The 27,231-nt window shown below is 35.1% G+C and overlaps 1 protein-coding gene across 38 annotated transcripts in view; it reads right to left on the bottom strand.

Moving 5' to 3' along the window:
• Positions 1-27,231, bottom strand: part of PTPRD (protein tyrosine phosphatase receptor type D) — a 2,298,757-nt gene that overhangs the window by 1,708,671 nt on the left and 562,855 nt on the right. For all 38 annotated transcript variants that reach the window (NM_002839.4, XM_017014961.3, XM_006716827.5 and 35 more), the window contains one exon: positions 10,802-10,874. The gene's annotated coding sequence lies outside the window, so the exon portion shown is untranslated. The remainder of the gene's footprint in view (positions 1-10,801; positions 10,875-27,231) is intronic.

The raw sequence follows: 27,231 nt of genomic DNA on the forward strand, positions 1-27,231 counted from the left end.
GTATTTTTATGCTTCCAGAAACATCTTATACTGGCTTTATATAAAGCTGTCTTTAAATGGAATTGTATTTTGCCTCAGAAAATATTGTACTAGACGCATATATTCTTTGTCCAACTGTTAAAATTAAAATAATATTTTACCTATTTTTATATGTATACTACAAATTCTCAAATGAAAGGAAGATTTTTGACACATTGATTATAAGCAAAACTTATTTAGATTTCTGTAAATCATTAAATATGTTTCTATGTACACGTGTGTATATACATAAATGTATCACTGTTACGACTAATCAAATTAGAATTAATCATTTTAAGTGTATAACCAATCATTATAAATTAACAGACAACAATTTATCTTCAAACTTTTCTAATAATGGAGAATTCAGGGCTTCCATTGGGAAAGGAACCTGGGCCTCTCCAGCCATGCCACAGACATGTATGCCTGAATAATGGGGTATTATAAACTGAAAAGCAAGGACTCCTGTCCGTCCTTTTGTGAAAACAAAATTCAATTCTGCACATGATTTCTTCCACGTACTTGAGAAAGTAAAGTTCTACATCTTTTCTGTATATAAAGTTAACTTCTGTGTTTGTACCATCAAATATTTCACAAATCTTTATATTCACTTGTTTTTTTCTTTTATTTTCTTCACATGATCATGATCTCTCATGCATTTTATTTGCCAGAACTTACATGGAACTATTTTTTTTTTTCTAATAAAGTGTGAGAGTTACTACAGAATTATGGGAAATTTTACTTTCTTATTAGCCTCAGCCATTCAATTATATATTGAATTGCAATTTAGGGCCTAAGTACAAATGCTACAGAAGTGTTAAGTCCAAAAAAAAAAGCTTTGGGAAAAAAAACTTCATTTAATAAAGGTTTAATAAAGGTTAACATTCTTCACATTCATGATAGACATAGCAGTGTTTCTTCTCAAAAATGCTTCTTTGTTCTTATGCTTCAAAATGACTTCAGTGGTTTACAATATAATGATTATGAATTACTTCAAGTACATATTTTTCACAATGACAGCTTTAATTGATATGCTCTAATTATTTTGGTTTAAATTAAATAGCTTATTATTTCCAATCATGAGTACTTTCTATATTTTTATATTAACACTAGATATATTTTCAATCATTTTTAGATATATTTCCAAATGTCATGTGAAAGTAATATTTGCTTTGTCAGTGTCATAAGATGTATTTTTAATGTGGGATAACAAATGTTTCAGTAATGTATAATTTAATTATGATAAGCATTTTTATCCTTGTTGGTTACAGTATTAGTATTTTATTTAAGTAATGAATTTAATTTATTCTAAAGTAAGTTTATGCACTATTACCTAAATAGAGACTTATAAATTCTAGCTGCTTCTGAACCAGGAAGGCAATTTTCTCCTGAAAGGAATTTTTATTTGTTGTTTATTTTGTTTTATTGCTCAGTGTGAATGCCTGGTGTCTTGAGAAAATGGAACCCCTTATTATATAAGTCTTTTGTGACAGACTCAACACTTTTATAGTAATTGTATAATTAACTTTCATAATGTGATACTTTAAGGAAAAATATGACATGCTGTGTTATATTCAGCACTGTAGTCATGTCCTAATTCACTAGTCTCAAGTGTTTCATTTCTGAACTCCTTACACATTTCCAATTTTGTCCAAATCCTTCAAGAAATTTAGAAATTTTATGATTCTTTTTTTTAAATTTTATTATTATTATACTTTAAGTTTTAGGGTACATGTGCACAACGTGCAGGTTTGTTACATACGTATACATGTGCCATGTTGGTGTGCTGCACCCATTAACTCGTCATTTAGCATTAGGTATATCTCCTAATGCTATCCCTCCCCCCTCCCCCCACCCCACAACAGGCCCCAGTGTGTGATGTTCCCCTTCCTGTGTCCATGTGTTCTCATTGTTCAATTCCCACCTATGAGTGAGAACATGCGGTGTTTGGTTTTCTGTCCGTGCGATAGTTTGCTGAGAATGGTGGTTTCCAGCTTCATCCATGTCCCTACAAAGGACATGAACTCATCATTTTTTATGGATGCATAGTATTCCATGGTGTATATGTGCCACATTTTCTTAATCCAGTCTATCATTGTTGGACATTTGGGTTGGTTCCAAGTCTTTGCTATTGTGAATAGTGCCGCAATAAACATACGTGTGCATGTGTCTTTATAGCAGCATGATTTACAATCCTTTGGGTATATACCCAGTAATGGGATGGCTAGGTCAAATGGTATTTCTAGTTCTAGATCCCTGAGGAATCGCCACACTGACTTCCACAATGGTTGAACTACTTTACAGTCCCACCAACAGTGTAAAAGTGTTCCTATTTCTCCACATCCTCTCCAGCATCTGTTGTTTCCTGACATTTTAATGATCGCCATTCTAACTGGTGCGAGATGGTATCTGAACTGCTTACACATTTCCAATGTCCAATTTTGTCCAAATCCTTCAAGAAATTTAGAAATTTTATGATTCTTAAGCAATTTTGCCTGAGAATGATAATTATAAAAATATGTGTAGATGTACATAACCATAATACAAACCATTAGACAGCCAGATTTAAGCTGGTTTTACCAGATTTTGCCAACTTTCATCATAGGAGAATTCACATTTCTTTCAGACTCTCTTGGTACATATAAAAGAGATTTAGAATGGGTGTTTGGCTGAGCACATTTCAAATACGATGCAAATTTTAGAGAAATCTGAGAAACTTTTTAAAAAATTAGATAACCTTTAAATCCCTCACCCACTTTTAGAAAATAAGAAATTGGATGATATTTGAAGACGATTTCCTTGGAGAGAGCTGTGCCGCCTCCACTGACTTTAAAGAAATTTGAGGTGTAACCTATTCATCCCAAGTCAAGATTGAAAGACTCTGAGGAAACCATGTGGATGATTAAATAAACACCTGTGCTACAGTTCACGGAACATTTCAACCTCACCACTTGAGAAATATAAAGGGTAAGAAAAGATCCTAACCAAAGGAAGACCAGGCAGGCATGAACAGATCTCAAGAAAGAGAAACTAGAGATTAACTCAGGATACTTCAAGGCTAAGGAAGGGTTAAGCAATGGATCTCAGTAGAGTTCACCACTTGCATAACCAGTGCTGCTCTAATATGTCTCTTGCAATTGATGGTGTTTCTGGAGAAACCACAAATGTACTGATGAGAAAGTGCCAGCTTTAAATAACGACCAGTCCAAGCCAATGCCAGTTAACTAAAAATTTGAGTGCTCCTCATACAGTTCTTTCACCATGTCCCAAAGCCAAACATTCTAAAACTGCCTTTGGCTAGCTGGAGGAGGAGAAATAGTACAAAGATTGAACAAGGAGATGGAAAGAAGCTGATGACTCCATCTTTCTTAGACTACTAGCCTACAAATGGCACAAACTTGGCAGAGAAGAGAAGTCTCAACATTAAATAACCATGGGACTGGAAATAAACTGACATTGTTTAAAAGATCTGAAATGATTGTGAACATATTTTTTAGCATCTAAAAATTACTAGAAAAGTCAAGTTGCCTGCCTAAGTTTCTCAAGAGTCATGGAAATAACTGTTTTAATAGAGTGAAACAAAAAAGACAACGATGGACAAAAAATAATTTTTGTTTATCTTAGCCCATAATCTGTGCTCATCCTTTGGAGCAGTCACAGTACAGTTACAATAATACACCTGCCATCACAAGGGGGCATTGTTTTCTCAATAGAGGAGCACTGTCAGTAATTGTAAACAGCAAAATCTGAACCTCCCCACAATTTCAGTGTAGTTTTCACAATAGACAATATTATGTATCATGACTTTGACACAACCATCACGGTGGGGACTGGATTCCATGTATGTTATACATTTACAAGAATTATTTCCTCAGAAAAAGGAAGTTGCGGTCTCACAAGCAAGTAAGACACTTGGTTTAGTGAGTGTCTTTCAAAAAAAAAAAAAAGACGTGAGAAGGATATAAAATTGCAACACACCACTAAACCTGCAGTGCTTCTCAGGTGACAGAGAAATAGCTCCAATCGATTTTAACATCCCATTAAAGGCAGCCAGCAAACCAGAGAATGTATTGTCTGCAATAATAAAGCATTTCTCTAGAGACTTGGCCTTGGTAAAATAAATAAAAAGGGGCAATTCTTTCTATTAATTCAGTTCACTCTGGCCATTGATAGGAATTAGAGTCAGATTCCTGAAAATCTTACACTTGGGGGGAAATGTCTGCTATAAATAAATAGAAAGTGAAATACAATGTGAATGAATATATTATATCATATATCTGTAGGTAACCAAAATTTCTTCTTCCAGTAATTAAAATATATGTTTAGTGAATAAATGGGAACTTTTCATCATGTTGTTAAAAATAGTTGTTTGAGATAAAAGCACAGGCAATAAAGCTGGGGGGAAAAGAGGTAGACAGAATTTGACCTTTTCCAAGCTGTCAGGGAAACAAAGATTCCCTAGTTCACAAACATGGCCCACTATCATGGAGAGATACATAGGTACCTCCTTCCAACAGTATTTTGGGTCTGCTAAGTTTCTGTACAAAAGTGCCAAAACATGATTAATATTTGGTCAAGTGTAAGCATGTCATGTGTATTATAAAATATAACAGGATAAGAGAAGAATATACATGTTCAGTCAATATATGTGGAAGCATTTGTTATAACAATATATGGCACATAAGGTTATTCTCCTTTATACTGCCTATTGAAAAATTTTGAGCATTGAACTTGTCATGGTTATGGCAAAAAATACATTTTTTCTAAAAATATTTATATAAAAATATATGCACATATATGTAATAGAAACTACTAAAGTATTAATGAAATAAAATCATACAGATTGAAGTTTCCAGTAAAAGGCATTGAACTAAATGGTAAAATATAACAGCATTACCTCTTACTTTGATATGAATTGCCTTTTTCTCCTTTAGATGAGGGTGATTATTTTGTTTTTCCTAATGGATTTTGTTTCCACTGATGAATTTTAAACATGGCTTAAAAGTATATTGGATTAAGTTTTTATTATTCCTGTAATATCTCCCACCTGTCCATTGATGGGTCATATGGTTTGACTTTGTCCCCATGCAAATCTCATGTTGAATTCCCATGTGTTGTGGGAGGGACCTGGTGGGAGGTAAATGAATCATGAGGGCGGGTCTTTCTTGTGCTGTTCTTATGATTGTGATAAGTCTCACAAGATCTGATGTTTTTTAAAAAATGAAGTTTCCCTTCACAAGCTCTCTTCTCTTATCTGCTGCCATGTGAGACATGCGTTTCACCTTCTGCCATGATCGTGAGGCCTCCCCAGCCATGTGGAACTGTAAGTCTATTAAACCTTTTTCTTTTGTAAATTGCTCAGTCTTGGGGATCTCTTTATCACCAGTGTGAAAATGGACTAATAGAGTAAATTGGTACCAGTAGAGTGGAGCGCTGCTGAAAAGATACCCAAAAATGTGGAACTGACTTCAGAACTGTGTAACAGGCAGAGGTTGCAACAGTTTGGAGGGCTCAGAAGAAGACAAGAAAATGTAGGAAAGTTTGGAACTCCCTAGAGACTTGTTGCATGGCTTTGACCAAAATGCTGATAATGATATGGATAATGAAATCCAGACTGAGGTGGTCTCAGATGGAGATGAGGGACTTGTTGGGAACTGGAGCAAAGGTGACTTTTGCTATTTCTTACCAAAGAGACTGGCAGCATTTTGTCCATGCCCTAGATATTTGTGGAACTTTGAACTTGAGGGGGATGATTTAGGCTATCTGGCGGAAGAAATTTCTAAGCAGTAAAGCATTCAAGAGGTGACTTGGGTGCTGTTAAAGGCATTCAGTTTTATAAGGAAAGCAAAGCATAAAAGAAAATCCCATTTTCGAGGAGAAATTCAAGTCGGCTGCAGACATTTGCATAAGTAATGAGGATTCAAATTCTAATCACCAAGACAATGAGGAAAATGTCTCCAGGGCATGTCAGAGGTCTTCACAGCAACTCCTGCCATCACAGGCCCAGAAGCCTAGGAGATGGCAGGGTGGGGCCCAGGGTCCCTGGGCTGTGTGCCGCCTAGGGACTTGGTGCCCTGTGTCCCAGCTGCTCCAGTTGTGGCTGAAAGGGGCCAACATAGAGCTCAGGCCATGGCTTCAGAGGGTGCAAGGCCCAAGTCTTGGCAGCTTCCATGTGGTGTTGAGCCTGTGACTACACAGAAGTCAAGAACTGGAGTTTGGGAACCTCTGCCTAGATTTCAGAGGATGTACAGAAATACCTGGATGTCCAGAAAGAAGTTTGCTGCAGGGGTGGGGTGCTCATGGAGAACCTCTGCTAGGGCAGTGTGGAAGGGAAATGTGGGGTTGGAGCCCCCATACAGAGTCCCCACTGGGGCGCTGTCTAGTGGAGCTGTGAGAAGAGAGCCACCATCCTCCAGACCCCAGAATGGTAGATCCACTGACACCTTATACTGTGCACTTGGAAAAGCCACAGACACTCAATGGCAGCTTGTGAAAGCAGCTGGGAGGGAGGCTATACCCTGCAAAGCCACAGGGGCAGCCATGGGAACCCATCTTTTCCATCAGCATGACCAGGATGTGAGACATGGAGTCAAAGGAGATCATTTTGGAGCTTTAAGATTTGACTGCCCTGCTGGATTTTGGATTTGCATGGGGCCTGTAGCCCCTTTGTTTTGGTCAATGTCTCCCATTTGGAACGGCTGTATTTCCCCAGTGCCTGTATCCCTATTGTACCTAGGAAGTAACTAATTTGCTTTTGATTTTACAGGCTCATAGGCAGAAGGAACTTGCCTTGTCTCAGATGAGACTTTGGACTGTGGAGTTTTGAGTTAATGCTGAAATGAGTTAAGACTTCGAGGGTCTGTTAGGAAGACATGATTGGTTTTGAAATATGAGAACATAAGATTTGGGAGGGGCCAGGGACAGAAAGATGTGGTTTGGCTGTGTCCCCACTCAAATTTCATCTTGAATTTCCATGTGTTGTGGGAGGGACCAGGTGGGAGGTAATTAATCATGGGGGCGGGTCTTTTCTGTGCTGTTCTCCTGATAGTAAATAAGTCTCATAAGATCTGATGGTTTTTGAAAGAGTGGGATTTCACTGAAAAAGCTTTCTTCTCCTGTCTGCCACCATATAAGATGTGCCTTTCACCTTCCGCCATGATTGTGAGGCCTCCCCAGACATGTGGCACTGTAAGTCTCTGAAACCGCTTTCTTTTGTAAATTGCCACAGTCACAGGTATGTCTTTATCAGCAGCATGAAAATGGACTAACACAGTGGGTTTGACAAGGTTTTTCGAGTTAAATGATAAGATAGGTGAGAAGGTGAGAAAGGAGTCAAATATATTTCTAGGTTTCTTTTGGGGAAACTGGGTAGATACCCTTTAATTCACAGAAATGAGAAAACAAAAGAAAAGGTGTTTGTGATAATATGAATTCAATTTTCACATATTTTAAGGTAAGCAGCTAATGTGCTATCGAATAGATATGTTGATTTGTTTCTCAGAAATAAGGCCTTAGGAGTACCTGTTGGTTTGAGTATCACGAGATAGAAATGACCCTTGAAGCTACAAGAGTAGATGAGTTCTATCATGAAAGCTATAGACTGAAAAGAGAAGAAACATGAGTGACTAGACTAATGTTAACTCCTAGGAGGGATACCTGGGAGAAGGAAAGGCTCAGGGAAATAAGAAGGGTCAAATATATGAGGGGCCTGGTGATGGGTGAGAAAAAGACTGGATTCCACGTGGAGAATCTATCCCATAGAAAAATTCCAGTTGAGAAAATCTTGGTTTTGATCAATGGTATCCTGTGTCCTGAACACTGCCCATGGATTATTTAGTGAAGATACAAACCAGGTAATTTGTCATACTCCCATCCCGCTTCATCTTCACCTTCGGACTCTATGGTTTGTCATTTTATTCACAAGCAACCTTGAACTTTGAGTACAAAGCTGCTTAAATCTTCATTGTGTTCTGGGAAAGTAGCAAACCAACTTTTCCCTATTTAAGTGTTTGGTAGATAGTAGATAACACAGATACCTTTGTGAAGTGAATGACTACTCAGAAAAAACCCAATGCAAAATGAAAGAGCAAAATTGATTAATCTATCTGTGCTTGTCTTTCTGTAGAGGAAAAATATGGACAAATTCCAGGGTCCAAGTATAGATACTGTAGCGCCAGGTAGTAATTTTCTTTTAAGACAAGCTAATAATATGCACTATGACTTGGTTAGGCAGAAATTGATCCCTAAAATATAGCTGAATTTAAGTGAATTATCTAACAGCTGGGTGACCTGTGAAAAACGCCATAATCAATACTTTACTGGTTAATACTGTTAACTCGATTGGATTGAAGGATGCAAGTATTGATCCTGGGTGTGTCTGTATGGGTGTTGCCAAAGGAGATTAACATTTGAGTCAGTGGGCTGGGGAAGGCAGACCCACCCTTAATCTGGCAGGCACCATCTAAGTAGCTGCCAGTGAATATAAAGCAGGCAGAAAAATGTGAAAAGGCGAGACTGTCCCAGCCTCCCAGCCTACATCTTTCTCCAGTGCTGGATGCTTCCTGCCCTGGAACATCGGATGCCAGGTTCTTCAGTTGTGAGACTCGGACTGGCTCTCCTCCTCCTCAAGCTTGCAGACAGCATATTGTGGGACCTTGTGATCATGTACATTAATAATACTTAAAAAACTCCATATATATATATATATATATATACACACACACACACACACATACACACACACACACATATCCTATTAGTTCTGTCCCTACTACAAATACGTCTTTAAGGATTCACAGAGTTGTGCCAGCAGAGCCTATTTTTTTTATGGAGTTTACTAGATTCGTAGATCAAAGGAATGATGTAGACACAATGTATCTGTATTTCAGAAAGGTATGCATATTTTTTGAAGACAAGAGATGGTGAATTGGCCCCTGGATAACAGAAAATTTAAAAGGATTTTGAATTGGTTCAGCAGTATTAGGTTTTGAATGAGAAGTCCCAAATAAGTGGAATCAGGAATTAGGAATGCTTTCATATTAAAGATTTAATGTAGGCTGCCTAGTCTGGAATGTCTTGAATTTGTCACTTAACATCCTACCTGCCTAGTTTTGGAGTTGAACTGAGGATTAATTAAATGTGAGCTACTATTGGAAGGAGTAGGAATGGGAAGATCTCGATTAATACTCAACACTCAAAGGAAGTTATCTGATACACTGTGAAAAACAACTGTTTTATAGAATTGGTGGTTCACACATGCAGAAATAACTTGGGTTAAATGGTTTCTTACTATAGCCATTTAATTTTCCCCTTTTCTCTTCATAGTGTAACATCTTGTAGCCCAAAACTAAAGACATTACTAAGAAAAAAATTAGTAAGCTTATCCATGACTAAGGGATTCTACAATACAGTGATCATAAATGATGTGTGCCAACAGATGGCAACTTGCCAAGATATCTTTGGAGATATTCTATGGGACACAAGTTATTCTTCCCTATTGTTTGACTCTTCAATTCTCTATAACTACCTCCCTGAAATTCTTTCACTCCCTAAACTTTCCAGAACAGTAATATTCAGATGAGATCCCTGGGGACTCTTCTATGTCTCCTCAAACTCCTGATATAGTGAATTTTTTCCACATCAGCCACATGTACAAGCTTACTTGTATGTATAAATGTAAAAACACACTTGCTACCTTGCAACATGCAGTATATCTATTCAATCTAATGCTTAGAATTAGTATTTTTGAAGAATCATTTAGTGTCAAATAGAACTTCTGGAAGTTGATAAAAATCAGGAGAAGGCGAGGATTTTTAGGATTGATTGGGATTCCCAAAATTTTATTCTATTAATTTCCATACATGACTTTTTTGTTATATCTTTTTACATTTCAACTGTATGCAATTTATATTTTTTTACTATTATTTATCTATAAAGATAGCAGTAAATTTGCATGATTTTATAGCAATGTATATGAACTTGAGTGAAGATTGAGTATTTTTAACTGATGAAGTATTCCACCCAAACCTCCACTAATCAGAAAGTGAGGGCATGAGAAGTGCTGCTGAGTCTGTAGTTTACATGAATTGGGAAAGTTGAAATTAACTAATGGCAACCTGGATGCGATAAATATTTTAAGGAGCATGTAAGTGTGTGTGTGTATGAGTGTGTTTCTGTACATGTACCTACAGAAACACACTCATACACACACAAACCTACATGCTCTTAAAATATTTATGAGAGAGAGAGAGTTGGCAAATGGGGAGGCGTGTTGCTGAGAAACATGATACCAAGAAATACTAATGCTATATACTGGTAAGAGAGAAACAATGCATTGAAACATAATAGCTACATATTTGACTTTATGGCATAAAATGTATATATAATAAGTATAGTGTATTAGCTTTTTACAAGTCATAGCTTCAGATCTCTTCGTGGATCCTCACTCAGCTATTGCTTGTGAGCCAAGGTGTCAATATATATAATATTCTAAAAATTAGCTAAAAGTAATACTAGCACAACTTTAAAATTAAAAATACTGCTTTTTATTCCAGCACATAATTTTTGTTTTATATCTATAAGTTTTAATATCACTCCTATTACTAGAGTAATTAAAAACAAAAGTAAAATCATATTATAATTATTTTTAAAAAAGAATTATTCTGTAATTAGTCAAGCAATGATGTTGACATCTTTTGAATCATGCTAGTTTTACCTTACAGCCAAGCCAAAGACTGTATTAAATTGAGCATTAAAAAGAAAAATTAGAATGAGTGAGACTTACCAATGTACAGCTTCCCCCTACAAGATGATTTTATAGCTGGAGGATGAAAAGTATCAGACTCCTCAAGATTTCCCTGAAAGGAAAAGTGAGAGATCGCTTTAATTCACATTCTCTGGCAGTTGTATTATGTCACATTTAAGTCAATTGATCAGATAAAAAAGGAAAACAGGAAAAACTGCCTTGTAGATAAATGAAATTAACAAATTAGGGCTAAGAAATGATACCTTAAAATGAGAGTCTATATTATTTCTTTGATGTAAAGTATTGTAGCCTATAATATTTAAAGAATATACAGAATCTTTTAGAAGAATCAATATCATTAAAATGGCTATACTGCCCAAAGCAATCTACAGATTAAATGCTATTCCTATTTCACTACTAATGTCATTCTTCACAGAATAAGAAAAAACTATTCTAAAATTCATATGGAAAAAAATATTGCTCTGATATAAAAGTTCATGCTGTAGGACACTAATTTGTTGATTAACCACAAACCCACTTTTTTAATGCCAAACAATTGTCTTCAATTCACAAAGAAAGTTAAAACTAAATTTATCATACTGACATTCTTTCTTACGATAATCTCTGATTATTTAACCTCTATTCCTTCTGCTAAATCATTTCTTGCACATAAATTCCTGCCTTTTACTATTTCTTCTTCTCGCACTCTGTCTCAGCTCCTGGCTCTACTTTTTTTTTTTTTTTTTTTTTTTTAAGAACTTTTAAGTTCAGGGGTACATGTGCAGTTTTGTTACATAGGGAAACGTGTCATAGGCGTTTGTTGTGCCTATTATTTCATTACCGGGGTATTAAGCCTAATATCCATTAGTTATTTTTCATGATCCTCTCCCTCCTCTCAACCTCCACCCTCCAATAGGCCCCAGTGTATGTTATTACCATCTGTGTGTCCATATGTTCTCACCATTTAGCTCCCACTTATAAGTGAGAACATGCAGTATTTGGCTTTCTGTTCCTGCTTTAGTTTTCTAAGGATAATGGTCTCCGGCTGCATCCAACAAAGTCCTGCACAGGAAATGATTTTGTTCTTTTTTATGGCTGCATAGTATTCCATGATATATATGTAACACATTTTCTTTATGCAGTCTATTATTGATGGTCATTTAGGTTGATTACACGTTTTTGCTATTGTGAATAGTGCTGCAGTGAACATACACGTGCATGTGTCTTTATAATAGAACAATTCATATTCCTTTGAGTATATGGTAATAGGATTGCTAGTAATAGGATTGCTAGTAATAGGATTGCTGGGTCAATTTTATTTTTGTCTTAAGGTCTTTGAGTAGTCTCCACACTGTCTTCCACTGTGGTTGAACTAATTTACACTACTACCAACAGTGTATAAGCATTCCTTTTTCTCCACAACCTTGCCAGCATGTATTATTTTTGACTTTTAATAATAGCCATTTTGACTAGTGTGAGATAGTGTCTCATTGTGACTTTAATTTGCATTTCTCTAATGATCAATGATGAGCTTTTTTTCAATATGGTTGTTGGCCGCATGTAGGTCTTCTTTTGAGAAGTGCCCTTTGCCCACTTTTTAATGGGGTATTTTTTTTTCTTGTAAATTTGTTTATGTTCCTTATACATACTGGATATTAGACCTTTGTCATAGGAATAGTTTGCAAAAATTTTCTCCCATTCTGTAAGTCGTCTATCTGTTGATAATTTCTTTTGCTGTGCAGAAGCTCTGTAGTTTAATTTGATCTCATCTGTTGATTTTTACTTCTGTTGCAATTGCTTTTGGCATCTTCGTCATGAAATCTTTGCCCACGCCTATGTCCTGAATGGTGTTGCCTAGGTTATCTTCCAGGGTTTTTTATAGTTTTAGGTTTTACATTTAAGTCTTTAATTTCTGGCTCTTCTTACTTCCCTATCTAGGTTGACGCTTGGTCTACCTCTCCACACCCTCATCATTTCAGCCTTCCTTCAGTCTCACCACCCTGCTAATTAACAACTCCAGACCAATCTTACAGTCCATTTCCCCCAACCCAAATGTTATGGTGCCCAAATATGATAGCTTGAGTTCCTTATTCATGAAATTCCTTATTAGTGGTTTCCTGCTCAATAATAAAAGTTTACTTCATTAAAAAAAAAAATAGGCATGAAAAGATAAGTGAGTAAATACCAGCAAGACAGCATGCTTCTGACAACTAACTTTGGCCCTTGTTCAGGAAGCGGAAATCTATATCTTCATTTGTTTGTGTTTAAAACTTAGGAGGACATAGGTGAGTGTCTAAATCATGGGGTGGAACATACCTGACCAATGATCACTTCAGATTCCCACTGGTCTGTAGGTCTAAAATAAACTTCACTCTTGGATATTCAACATTGGTATCTGGCAGTATACCCACTGATACTTATACTGCATATCTTCCAAATAAACGCAGTATTAGGTATTTCAAAGAAAGATACAAATTTAATAATTATTTTAATAAAAGTCAGAACAGGTTAGGACTGACAGTCTACATACACTAGTGGAATCTCTGCTTTCTCAGGCCTATTTTAATCCCTTTCTCCTTGACATCTAAGACATACAAATGGTAGATTGTTGACAGGTAAATGATCATCAATGTGTTACCCGCATGCTTAATTCCCTGATGTATTTCCCTGTTAAGCCTGGATAAACATTCTAAAGCCCTTTTGCTTATTAAGCATCAAGTTTATCAGCATTTAAGCATCATACTCAGATCATAGCCCACCATAAAATGAAAACTGATCACTTAGATATCAAAACAAATAGCAGCAAGGCACACATACACACACTCATGCACACACACACACACACACACACACACAATTTTGCCAGGATTCCACAAACAGCACAAATACATTTTTTTTTATTTTATTTCATTTTATTATATTTTTGAAACGGAGCCTGGTTCTGTCACCAGGCTGGAGTGCAGTGGTGCAATCTCGGCTCACTACAACCTCCACCTCCTGGGTTCAAGTGATTCTCCTACCTCAGCCTCCCAAGAAGCTGGATTACAGGCACGTGCCACCACACCCCACTAATTTTTGTATTTTTAGTAGAGACAGGGTTTCATCATGTTGGCCAGGATGGTCTCGATCTCTTGACCTTGTGATCTGCCCGCCTCGGCCTCCCAAAGTGCTGGGATTACAGGCCTGAGCCAAATTTTTATTATTTATTTATTTATTTATTTATTTAGATAGCACCTCACTCTGTTGCTCAAGGTGAGTGCAGTGGCATGATCATGGTTTACTGCAGCTTCAATCTCCCAGGCTTAAGTGATCCTACCACCCCAGTCTCCTTGAAGTAGCTGGGACTACAGGTATGTCCCACCATGCCTAGCTAATTTTTTAATGTTTTGTTTTGAAGAGACAGAGATTCACTATGTTGCCCAGAATGGTCTCGGACTCCTGGACTCAAGCAGTCCTTCTGCCTCAGCCTCCCAAAGTGCTGGGATTACAGCACCATGCACCACAAAATAATATTTAAAATAGAAAACCGATATGGCTTGGATCTTTGTCCCCACCCAAATCTCATATCAAATCATAATCCTCAATGTTGGAGGTGGGGCCTGGTGGGAGGTGATTGTATCAGGAGGGCAGTTTCTAATGTTTTAACACCATCCCCCTTGGTGGTGTTGCAGCAGGAGTGAGTAACAATGAGATCTGGTTGTTTAAAAGTGTGCAGCACCTCTCTGCACCCTTCCTCCTGTTGCGGCCATATGAAGATGCCTGCTCCAGCTTCACCTTCTGCCATGAGTAAAAGCTCCCTGAGGGCTCCCCAGCCATGCTTTGGTATATTGTGGAAATGTAAACTAATTAAACCTCTTTTATTTATAAATTACCCAGTCTTGAGTATTTCTTTATAGCAGTGGAAAAAAAAAAAAAAAAAAACAAGCTAATTCAGAAACTGACACATTCACTTTACATTTAAGGGGTGGTTTAACCAAGACAAGTTCTCCATGGGAATTGACTACTAATATTTGAGAGAGGATCAATCTTCGTTTTCTTGGAAAAGATGTCATTTATCTTACATGCAAAAAGACGTTTTGTTAACCTGCAACTTTAATATCTAGAAAATAATTCCATTGAAGGTAGCTTTAAAGAGAGCTCAAATATCTCATCTTAAATGAGAAAGAAAAATGAAACAAATGAAGCTCTTATAGGCTTTGCATCCTACATAGTTATTATGTTCTTCATTTTATTTTCAGTAATGTTCTCTCAAAAAGTAGTTTAATTTCACTACCTCTATTTCCAAACCTTTCATCACACCTTGTATATGAGAGTCTATCTACAGACATTGATATGTCTGAAATTGCCAATGACCCTCATATTTATAATTCCAAATGCAGACTTGAATTTATTTTATCTGTCACATCTCATATTTGGTTCTACTGAACATGAGTACCATTTTACAACTTATCTCCTGATTTCCATGATGCTACTTTTCTCTTGTTTTCTTCCTGTAACTCTATTTATTCCTTCTTAATTATTGACCATGTATATCTCATGAAATTTCTTCTCAGGACTTCATCTTTAACATTTTGCCCTTATCATTCTACAACATCTCTCATGATGGCCTAATACAAAGCCATAGCTTGAATAATAACCTATTACTGATAAATCCCAAATATATAGCCCCCAAATTGGACATTTTTACATCAGTATCCCAAAGACACCTTTGATTCAACTTGTGAAAATATCCAATTACCTTTATTCTATTAATTTGATTTTGTGTTCTCTATCTCAGTGAACAATAACAATAGATAACATTGATTAAGCACTTATAATGTATCTTACACTTCTGATATCTTATGTAGTTACTCCACAACCTCATATTGGAGATACTAATATTATCACCATTTTGAAAATCACAGAACTGATCCTCAAAGAGGTAAAGTTACTTGCCTGAATTCACACAGCTAATAATTATTAGAGTTGGGACCTGAACAGACTGCCTGCACACTTCAACATTACACCTTGAAAATATTTGCCCAGTTGCACAAATCAGATAATTTGGACTCACTTTATATTTTTCTTTTATTCATCTATTCTCAGAGAACTGTAATCACTTAGTTCTCTAGATTATGGGTATAAAATGTTGTATTATTATTGTATCTATTCCCTCCCCTCAATCCCTATGGCCCTGACCTTGGTTTATATCCTCATTTCTCTCCCAGATTGTTTTAACAATTATTGCCCTTTACACTAGCCTCTAACGCTGACGATAAACTTTAATCTCTGACCTTGATTCCAAACACTTTATTCTTTTGTTGCTTACAGTGAGTCTAGGTACAAAAATGTATGACTATGAAAAAAGTTACCCTAAATGCCATCTTAGTTTTTAATTGGCTACATGAAAAAGATGTACAGGCATGTACGTAGGTTTGTTGTTCACAAAACTCTTCCTATCCCTATAACTCAATTTCCTATAGAATTAAATTCAAATCATCAAAATTATAATTGAATTCCTGAAAAACTTGAAATCATCTACAAAAATTATGAAATAAAAGTGATCATCCTATTTCTACTGTGACAATTTAAAACTTTAATTTGAATCAACAGAAAATGAATACAAAGAAAGACCATAATTTATTTGTCAGGTAAAGACTGAAAAATCCCAATTGTCCATGTCCCTATAGCCAATTATTTGAATGCTATGTCAAAATAAAGTTTTGAGGAAAAAGGACCTATATGAGTTTTCTCGACCAAAATGTAAGGTATATAAATCTCTATTATCTGTGTATGTTTACATATATACAATAGAAGTTGCAATTAAAATGGTGAAAGTTACACAAGTAAGCTAGATTACTACTATGTATTCAAACACACTTTAATTTCCACCTGAAAAACATTTTCCTTATATAAAGAACACTTAGCTTATGAACTAAAACTCCTGGGTTAAAATGTCCTAGCTATCTGTGTTCTAAGGAAAGTCACTAAGTATGGCCCTCAGTTTTCTTTTCTGGGGGAAAAAAAAACAAAGGGGTATGATTGTACTACATGAATTCTAAGACTTTTTTTTATTATTCTGCTTTAACCCCTTCTGATTGAGATATATTTATCAAATTGGATACGACTGCTTTGGTATCATCATGTGAATCATAGAGAGGACAAAATTTAAAGATGAAAACAATCAATAAAACAATATTATGTCTGTTTGGCAAACAAAGAATATGAGACATCTATGATTTAAAATTTGAGCTTCACAATTTTAATTATTCTAATTTCTAAGGAAAATATTCAGAAGCTTAAATGCCATTCTCCTAAATTGCCTTTAGTTCAAGGGCATAGCAGTCAGAATTTCAAAGGCATGCACGTTGTTTTCAGCAATGCATGGCTTTGCTGCAAAGTGAGGATAGGACTGGAATGAAAATAGTGAAAGACAGCAGCAAAATCAGTGTTTGGTAGGTAATACTCTATCTAGAAAAATAAGCTCAAATTAGAGAAAGAAGTAAGGTGAGCAAGCTTTTTTTGGTTAAACGGATTCATAAAAATGAATGTGCTGTTGACCAGAGAACCCAAAAGTCTTCCCATTTTGTTGTCGTTTGATGTTATTGAATTAGGAACACTGACAGTTTTTATGCATGCTGGATGTAGCTTTGAATAAATGGATAGCCATCCAGCACATTCAACAATCGGTCGAAACATTTTAGATACACCTAATAAGGGGTACGAGGAGCAGATGTGCTTCTGCCCAAACTACATACTGAGAATTCCAATTATACAGGCAGCCAAATTACTATAACCTAATTGCCACTACCCTGAGTGTGGGATGCAATCACTGCTTATTCACCCTTGTTTTTCCAAATAACCATTAGTGATCCTCTCAACAGACTATCCAGCTATGTAGGGAGAATCAGCAGCAAGCTACTTAGCAACGAGAGGCTATATTTGGTTTCTGCAGACTTGTTTATGGAACTCACATAGTTAACTTCTTCCTAAATCAGTGGTCATGGGCTAAAATGGCTTAAACATTTTCTTCCCTAGCAAGAAAAGATTCTTTTAAAAATGAGAGAGAAACAATGAAAGAATCTAGTAAAAATGTATTAAATGCAAAATTAAATTGAGCACTGATAAACCTCACTTTTAAAGGTACTTTATCAAATTGAAATGTGTTCTTCCATCTCAGTTTCACACAAAGTGCAATATGTGCTATTTGAAAATTAGATAATCTGCTTAAGAGCTATTATTGGGCAACTCCACCCTCTTGCTAACCAAATTTACTGTAATGTGGGTGAGACTGCTTTTTCTTTCACAATTTCTATTTGTTGTTTTGAAGAGTGATACATTTTTAAATGTTTTTCATTTGCTTAAAGTAAATGTATTTCACTGTTTTTGAAAAACAAGAATGTAAAAACATAATTTTTCATAAAAGCATATGCTTTCTCTAAAAGAAAAATATATTTAAACAACTCACAAAAGCACATTATGCAGTAGTGAAAGAAAACAGCTTTTAAATATAACTATTGTAAATGATATTTTGTTTTTTCATGCCCACACAAAAATTTGTCATTTGAGACATGTGTAGTTGTATATTGAGGTAGTTTGAAATTATGTGAAAGACTGACTATATCCTTGAAGAGGTTTCAATTTTTATTTTGAATGTGCTAGAAAGTAAATAAATAGAAATGTGAAATTCAGTGGAACTGATTTCTAGGAAAATAAGGCCTAAAAAGAAACAGACTTTTAGATCTTATTTACAGAAAGTAGTTTTCTGAGTAGGTCAATAACCCACTTTTTAAGGACCTAAAATAAGATAGGACTACTGAAATAAGCATATTATGTTTTAGAGCAACTATTTCAATTTTTTTTTTATTTTCTACTGTATAAAATCAAGGAGTGGAGAAGGTGCAAAATCCTTCAATTACCTTGTTATATTAGAGACTTTACTAGATTCATTTAAAAAGTGTAATATGAGCAAGAAACATAAAAAATCTCATCAGTCTAGGTATCAATGTTATGAAAATGTCACTAACTTATTTAATTTTACTGAAATTATAATTTTCTTTGCACAATCATATACAGAAAATGATTAAGCACTTTTACAAAATTGCATTGCTTTGGACAAAGAAAAAATTCATTTCTTAAAGTTAATGTAACTTAAATAAGATATAAACTTTAGATCTATGCTGTATCCCATTAGGAGTTGCCTTCCCTGTGAATCCTAAATATAACATATGATCTCATCTGCTCATGGCAAAATAACATCCTCCTTAGAAGCACATCTTCAGTGACAGAATTTCTGGAATGTATTCCTAGCTGAAGTAAAGCAGCATCTGCAGTACTACACAATCGTCCTCAGAAGTATTGCTGTTTGGAAGCAGAATGACAATGAATAATGTTAAGAAATAGGGCACTGCCCCTGTGGGAACACAGCAGCAGAGGTAGCAAAATGCTAAAACTTTCGACTGCTTTTTTCCAGAGATTTAAACACTGGCAAATAAGGCCCTGTAGGCATATAAAAGATAAGAGCAAATTTAACCCCCTTTTCACCTGTTCAGCTGCCACAGGGGTCATTTCTCTATGTGTAATTTAAAATTTGTTCCATTTCTGCCATACTATTATGCAGTTCTGAGGAATCAGCAAAAAGAGGCATGCGGAGATAGAAGACTCAGAGATGAATCCTCAAAGTAGATTAATCTATTAAATGCAATCTATTAAAGCACCATAGATTGCCAACTTACACAAAGGTAGCTCTATAGAGCTGCAGAAAAGAAACCTACCTGTCCAGACCATTTCCTGAGAACCCAGAATTCTGCTAGCCCTGCTCTAGGGTAGAATTCCACCCTCAGCACTTTTAGACTATTGCCATATGCTGGGATCCTTATTAAGATGCAGTTACCCTCAGGAAAGGTAACAAGCAGAGCTACTAGCAGGACTACTAACACATTAGTGTTGGTGAAGAAACTGACAGAGATGATGCTGATTGTGGAAGGTAAAATACAAAGAACTGAGAAAATTGGAGGACCACCAGATGAGGGAGATGCAAATAGAAAGACTGAAGGCTACATTGGTAGGTGTAGCTTGGCACCAACACTAGCATACACTGTCCTTTTCCCCACCAGACCTCATTCAAATAAATCTAAATGACAAGTAATTATCCAGAATTTTAAAAATCTTGACAATAATTTATTGCAAATGGAAAGAAAATTTCCAGGAAATTATTTCTTTACCTAATATGAATGTATTTGTGAAAAAGTCTTTGAATCCCTATAACATGTAAACAGTTGAAGAGTTTAATCTAAGAGATCAGTAAAGAAAGAACACTGAATTTTAACTGAGAATACTTGAGTTCTAATCTGAGTTCTAACACAAATCAAATGTAGTCATTCATTGGATATTTCTGAATTAAATTTCTCATCTACACAAACAGAGGGCAGTAAGAGCAGGTAATCTCTAGGATATAATAAAGCTCTAAAGACACAAAGCTATAGAAAATAAAATGTTTTCTGGTTGTGAATTAAAAATACAAATGTGATATTGCCTCTCTGATACACTTAGGCATCAGTTTTTATAAAACCTGCAATTTATATGTAAAACTAGTATCTTATTAGTTAAATAATCAAAGTGAATAAAATCACATGGGTTTGAAAGGTAGCATATCCATTGCTTTACTTAGAGATCAAAATGATGCTTGATAAAGAAAGCCATTTTCATATTCCAACTATAAAGCCCTCTCTTTAAATGTGATGTTTTATCTATGGGGAGTATTGCAGAAAACAAAGGCTGGCTATTACTCCTGGTAAAGGAGTAAAATCCTATAGCTTAGAGATCTTTGCCTTCTCTCAATGAAACTCTATGGGATTCAGAGGTAAATTTGGAGTTCCTATGAGCCTTCTAAAACTGTCTGTAAAATTTTGTGTGAGGTGCATATGTACATTTTTCTAAGATGTTTTATAGTTTAGGTCCACAATTCAGAGTGTTTTATGATGCAAAAAAGGTGAGATGATGGTTCACACCTAAAGATCAAAATGATATAAAGAAACAAGAAGAAATATGATGTTGCCAAGGAGACATTCTAGGTAAGGATGAAGCCACTGGTGCTGCAGAATCATCCCTTGATTATTTCATGTAGGATCTACCTGCACACAGCTGCAAAATTCCAAAGTCTATTTTATCTTTAGTAAGATAAATATCCAAATTAGTGAGTATACAAAATGACTTGCAGTTCCAAAACAAGTATTTTGATCATAAGCTGTGAGAATTGTGATTTATATTAACTCTTCTATTCTGATTACTGGCTATTTTTTATTATTTGTAACACAGAGACAAAAGCTCAGAATTTGTAACAAATATTTAGAGCCTTCAAGTTCCCTTTGTAGAGGGTCTAACATGAGAGAGAGGAGGTCTGTCTCAGGAATGTCATGAAAGATACCAGGGGAAGTTGTTTCTTGTTCAACACCCTGGCCATCTACTGTTGAAGACATCTATAATTCACTGGAACTGTGAATGTGTAGAATGGATATTCTCCCTATAATTGTGTTTCTGAGTATTTTCAACATGAGTAAGAGAATAAGGTCTATGAGTTTTTCTCTAAAATAATACTTTCTGATTGAATAATACAGAGGACATAATAGATTATCATCAAATTTTAGAGGATATAAATTATGCTACTAAATTTTTCTTTATATTTAAAAATTGTTCAGCGATGAAGCCTTTGTTCTGATTTACTGTGCTGGCTCTATACCCCAGGATAATATGTTTTCAGATGTAAAAATTGGATCAGACTTAGTTGATAGTTATATTTCTTCATAAAAAGAGAACAAACAGAGGTGTTAAAATCATTGCTATCTGAACAAATGTACAAAGTAGCCACAAATACAGGGAATCTAGATTTGAGAATTATCAAATAATTTGCTCTCATTTTTCATTTCTCAGTGTTCTCAAACATTATCTCATTTAATTGTCGCTAGAACCATATTAGATCATTAATATCATACACAATACACAGACTAAGAAATTAAAGCTCAGGGAGGCTGGGAAGTTTTCTGAAGTTTTCAGAGAGAGTAAGTAATAGAGCTGAGACTGGAACCCAAATTAAAATTGTTATTATTATAATCACACAGCAGCACAAACCTTCAGAAGCTATGGGATAGATTTTGCAACTTCATTGGAATAGACAAGACATGATTTTAGTTATCATGGGCTCAGTATCCATTACACTGACATTTTGGGACAATTCAATATTATCTCTCCCTTTCACTATCAGTTTATGAGTCATTTCAATGAGAGTCAACTAATAATTACAGTTCCAGAATCTCTTTCATATTGCAGCATATAGAGGCTACTCTCTATGCTGTTCCAGATGGTATGCATAGTCAATGCAGAAATTGCTCACTATGTATTTTGGGAAAGAACATTTATTCAAGATTCAGAGGTCAAAATGAGGTCTGGTAATCATCTATGAACTAATTTGCTCATCCTGTTTTTAAATTTGAATTATTAGCAGACAGTTCAGAAAATATCTATTTTAACTTTTCTTTGGCCAAAGTAGTATCCCTTTATTAACAGGCAAATTTGTTCAGAAGTTTCTTAAATAAAAATAATATTTTTTTGGAAAAACATTTTAACAATTAGCAAAACACTTAAAATGGGAAAATAATGTTTACATATTAGAACAGTGACATAGAACTGAATTCATATAAATTGAAAGTCTTGGGACAAGCAAATTAGCATCTGTATAAAGTGGCTACCGTATTTTCTATATCTGTACTTAATCTGAATGAAAAATAGCCTTGATTATCAAGGATTGTTTATATTGCAACTTTAAAACAACAAATGTGACCTCAGAAGTATCCATCTAAACAATAAGATATTTTTTATATTCACTATCTGCCTTTAGGTGTATATGTTTCAGCTATCATTTTGAGAATAATTTCTAGGTTATTTGGAGTAAATGTAAAATGGAATGAATAAAATACATTTAGCTAATATACTCTTAAGATCCACAAAACCATACTGTATGATAATCATTCCTATTTTAAATATATAGCTTATTTGATATAATTCCATAATATATAAAGATGACTACCTCAGATAACATATCTCATAACAAAGCAAACGTTTGCTACAAATGCTTTGCCACTAGTCTGTGCTGTTGTATCAGAAACATTTATTTTCATCAAATGATTTTTTTAAAAGGAGCTAGCTGCATTTATTCTGTGTTAAGAATCACAATTGTATGATACCTCATGATGTTTTCAATTTTCTATAATATTGGGGAAAATCGTCAATTAAAACTAAATATAAATCTATCAATGGTCCTTTTTGTTTCTAAATCCAAGAAAGATGGCATTTTTAATACTTATTGTTAAACTAGAAAATATGAGGCATGATAAGCTACAAAATAATACCTTCCTTTAATTTGATATACAGAAATATTCTAGCAGCTGGATTTTGCTAATGATCAACTACTTTGCACACATTACTAACAAATCATCATTAAGCGGCTTTTCCAGATGACTTCATTAGTGACAATAGATAAACACACAAAAGTACAAAGCATTAGAGATAATTTCAATATTATATTCTGCTTTATCTAATTATTTTCTCAGTTATCCATACAATTTTTAAGATTTCCCTGGGTAAAACACAACTGCATCTTTGAACTTCTAACATTTTATCTTAGAAAAATTTCTTATAGTTCACTGAGGAATTTGAGAAACTTAAATTATAGCCACAATATTCAAAGTTGTTTCAGGGATTTAGAAAAATATGGACGTTTAAAACCAAAACTAATCCTGTAATCTTTTTTTACCTTTAAAAAATTATTTTTCAAAATTCCCTACATTGATTTTTCTAGGCACATGTCACTCTGAAAAACAGAATGAAAAATATTAAAGATTATCAGAAGTTGCCTCGGATGCTTCAATGTTTCTCACAAAACAAGGCATATCTAAATATAGATGTTATTTACTTGCAACTATGCAATGGTTTGTTTTAGAGAAAAATACATTCAATTAAACATGGACCACTTACTTGAAATGATAAGATGGATGATTGCACTCAGAGAGCAATTAATATTCCTCACTCAATTAATAAAGATTCACAAGTATATGCTGTTATTCTGAATAATATTTCTATAGTGAAGACAAGTTAGTTTAGGCAAATGCCTTCCTTGTTTAAAAATGGAAATACCACGAAAACTGAGCTAGTCTCAAAACATCACGACACCTGTCATATAAAAATGTGTTTTGCACACTCAGTGAACAACAATTACAGACATCCAAAGTGAAATATTTTATTGATAATAAGTAGATCAAATATGCATGGAAATTGTATATTCAATTTTAAATGCCAAGGACATTTTGTTCCCATGAGTGTTTTACTACATAAACATCTTTTTCTATCTTGTATGACAAAGAATGATTTTTAAGAGTCAGCTCACCTATAGTTTGAATATTTCCACCTATAGCATACGTAAGTTAAAATTATTATTTTGTGAACATAAAATTACAATGTTTGAAGACTACAATATGAAGGAGTGGCACTGGTGTGCAAATCTCTGCTCCAAACCTTTAATAAATATATTGATCTAGGATTGTATCCTAATCTATCTATATTTTAGTTTCCTCATAGGTAAAATGAAGATAAAATCAACTAACTGTGTGTGTGTGTGTGTGTGTGTGTGCGTGTGTGTGTGTGCTTGTGTGATAATGCCTGTAGATATTTTAGCATATCTGGCATTTGCTGAACACACAATGATTGTTAGATATATGTTACAATTATTTATTTCATTTTATTAGTTTGAATAAATAAAATTCTGAAGAGCAAATCAGGCTCTACAAAATGTAGCCAAGGAAAATATCTTCCTTGTGTTTGCAATTTAGCATCCCTCAACTTTTGTTTCAACACTGCCCACATACTTTTTTGTTCCCACCTCTATGGCTCCAACATTTATACCCCTGCCAAAATTTGTGTTGACTCTATAACTATGTAAACATTGAAATTTCATTTTTTCTTATGGTGCATCACTGCAATAGGAAAACACTGGGAAATTAAGTTTTATTCTCACAGTGTTAATTTGTTTACTTCCTTGAAAAATCAGGTGGGTGACCATAGGCAATTCATTTAATTTGACTCAGACATAATTATTTCATCTACCAAAGACAACTACTAACTTCTCAAAATTGGTGCAAGTGTGGTTAAATGGGCTAATAGAGGTAAAAAGCCTAGCACAGAAATATTAGCTCCTCTCACTACCCACCTTACTCTATTTCTTTTCCTGTCTTTCCAACAGGATTACCAAATAATCCTCATTTCTGATAGTTCCCATTATAACAGAGTGAACTTTCCAGTTTCCTAAATAAGCATTAGCTGTCTCTGAGTTGTATGCTAGCTCTGCTCTTGAATCCAGCCATCTATTTCTCGCTGCAAAGCAGAAAACATATACAAGGTTTCCTACGTGAGACAGATATTTGCCACATTTTTATTGCCTGGTTTTCTAGCATCTAGCAGGGACTAGTTCCTTGATCTTCTGCATTGCTTTATTGCTTGTCTTAACCTCAGCCCTCATGTCCTTTGTACTCCTTGTTCTGCCTTGCTAACCTTTTCTTCTTAAATTCTTACTTCGATCTCTGTTTCAGTTCTGGTCAATAAGTACTCAAGACTCACTAGCCCCCAGTACTTCAGGTCTGCTTACTGACCCCTTATATTGTTTATACCCATGATTTCATGGTGACCTTCAACTTCGGTGTAAATGCTGGGTACTGGCTTCTTATATAATCTTTGACCTGTGCTTCTGACCATTGCTATCTGGATTCATTCCAGCTGTCTACTTGTTTTTATATTCACTGATTCATTTTGGTTTCCAGTTTTATTACATATCTTTAATCCCTACTCTTCCAGTGATAGATTCCCATATTTTTTACTACTAATTTCATTAATACTCTAAAACCACTCTAGAAACTGCTGGGGGAAAAAAATCTTCGAGGAGGTAGGATTTATGACCTCAGCATGCAAGGCAAGGAAAGTAGTTTCCTATAACTTTTCATTCATATATTTAATCCTCTTAGCTCCTTATCAACCCAGAAAACTAACGTTGACCATCAACTCCCACCCTTCCCCAAAACAAATCCTATTATCAAGTGTTTCTTTCACTAAAATGCTAACAATTCATAGTAACTTAAATGGTAAACTCCCCAAAGATATCTGAATTTTAACAGAGTCAAATTTAGCAAGCAGAAAGAGCAGAAAGGTGGTGGTAGGATGATTACGCAGGATTAGGATGCCTGGAATTATAAGGTATTTGAGTGATTAGGGAGGAGCCCTGACACTCGGGTAGTTCAAGAGCAAAAGAGAGCTGCAGTCCTTGAACTGGATAAAGATGAGGTTTGAGAAAAAAGATGGAGATGTTTAAAATGTAAGTGGCATAAAAGAAATGAGAAAAGCAGAGCATTAGAGAAAAAAAGCAGTGATGTCAATTGGCAGCTAGAGCAGACACTGATACCACTTCAATGTGGCGTTTGCGGAAAAAGGAGGCATGGAGTGTTCAGGCTGGAAGGGATCCCTGCAATCATCTAGCGCAGCCTCCTCATTTTTCCAGGACAGACATTTAACATACATCATTATTTTCCTGCTTCTTGTGGGTCCATACTTAGAAACTGGCCCTGCATCTTCAATACTTTCAGAAATAGTAGCTTCTTTAGAACATACTGAACTGGATTAAAAGGAGAAGCAGCTTCTCTGGTTAAAAAAAAAAAAGAAAGAAAGAAAGAAAGAAAGAAAGAAAAGAAAAAAAAAAACCCTTCTATATGTGTGTAGAACACACTTTGCCATCTGTTCCTTTTTCCACTTCAAGTCAGTTTCCCTTTTTTACATCCAGTGATGTAATGCTGCAAAAGATTTGAGGTCATTGTTAATAAAGTTATAAGGGAATCTTTTGAAGAGAAAGTTAATTTGCTATATATACTATGTGAGGGATATTCATAGTTTTCCAACAGTAATGCTCTGCAGTTTATAAGAATCTTCAGTAAAGAAAGACGAGTGTATACCAAGTAGGGCTGATTTTATTTCAAATATTTTTAAATAAAACCTTTATAGCAGTGCTACCTGTAAATATTCTAGTGACAACTTCATGCTTGATGAGTAGAAATGCTTGTAGGCCAAGTCCTTGTACTTATCTAAAATAGCAAAACATTTACACCTGACAAGGGACTTTGGTGTGAGACAGTTAGTCAAGTTTCATTGTAGGGTAGCATGACCTGTCTCAGAATCTAGTCAATTATTTTGTCATTTATCACAATCTAATCATAGCACTTATCACAAACTTTTTTATGTGCTTATTTACTTTTTCATCAGGAAGAAGGTTCTGTGAAGCCTGAGATCTCATCTGTTAGTGCCATTCCCTATTACCAGCACCTGGAATAATAGGTTCAAAATAAATATCTGTCGAATTAAAGGACCAATGGGAATTAGAGAAGATTGTGGCATGGGGCCTG

This window comes from Homo sapiens, chromosome 9 (assembly GCF_000001405.40).
Source record: "Homo sapiens chromosome 9, GRCh38.p14 Primary Assembly".
NCBI lineage: Eukaryota > Metazoa > Chordata > Mammalia > Primates > Hominidae > Homo > Homo sapiens.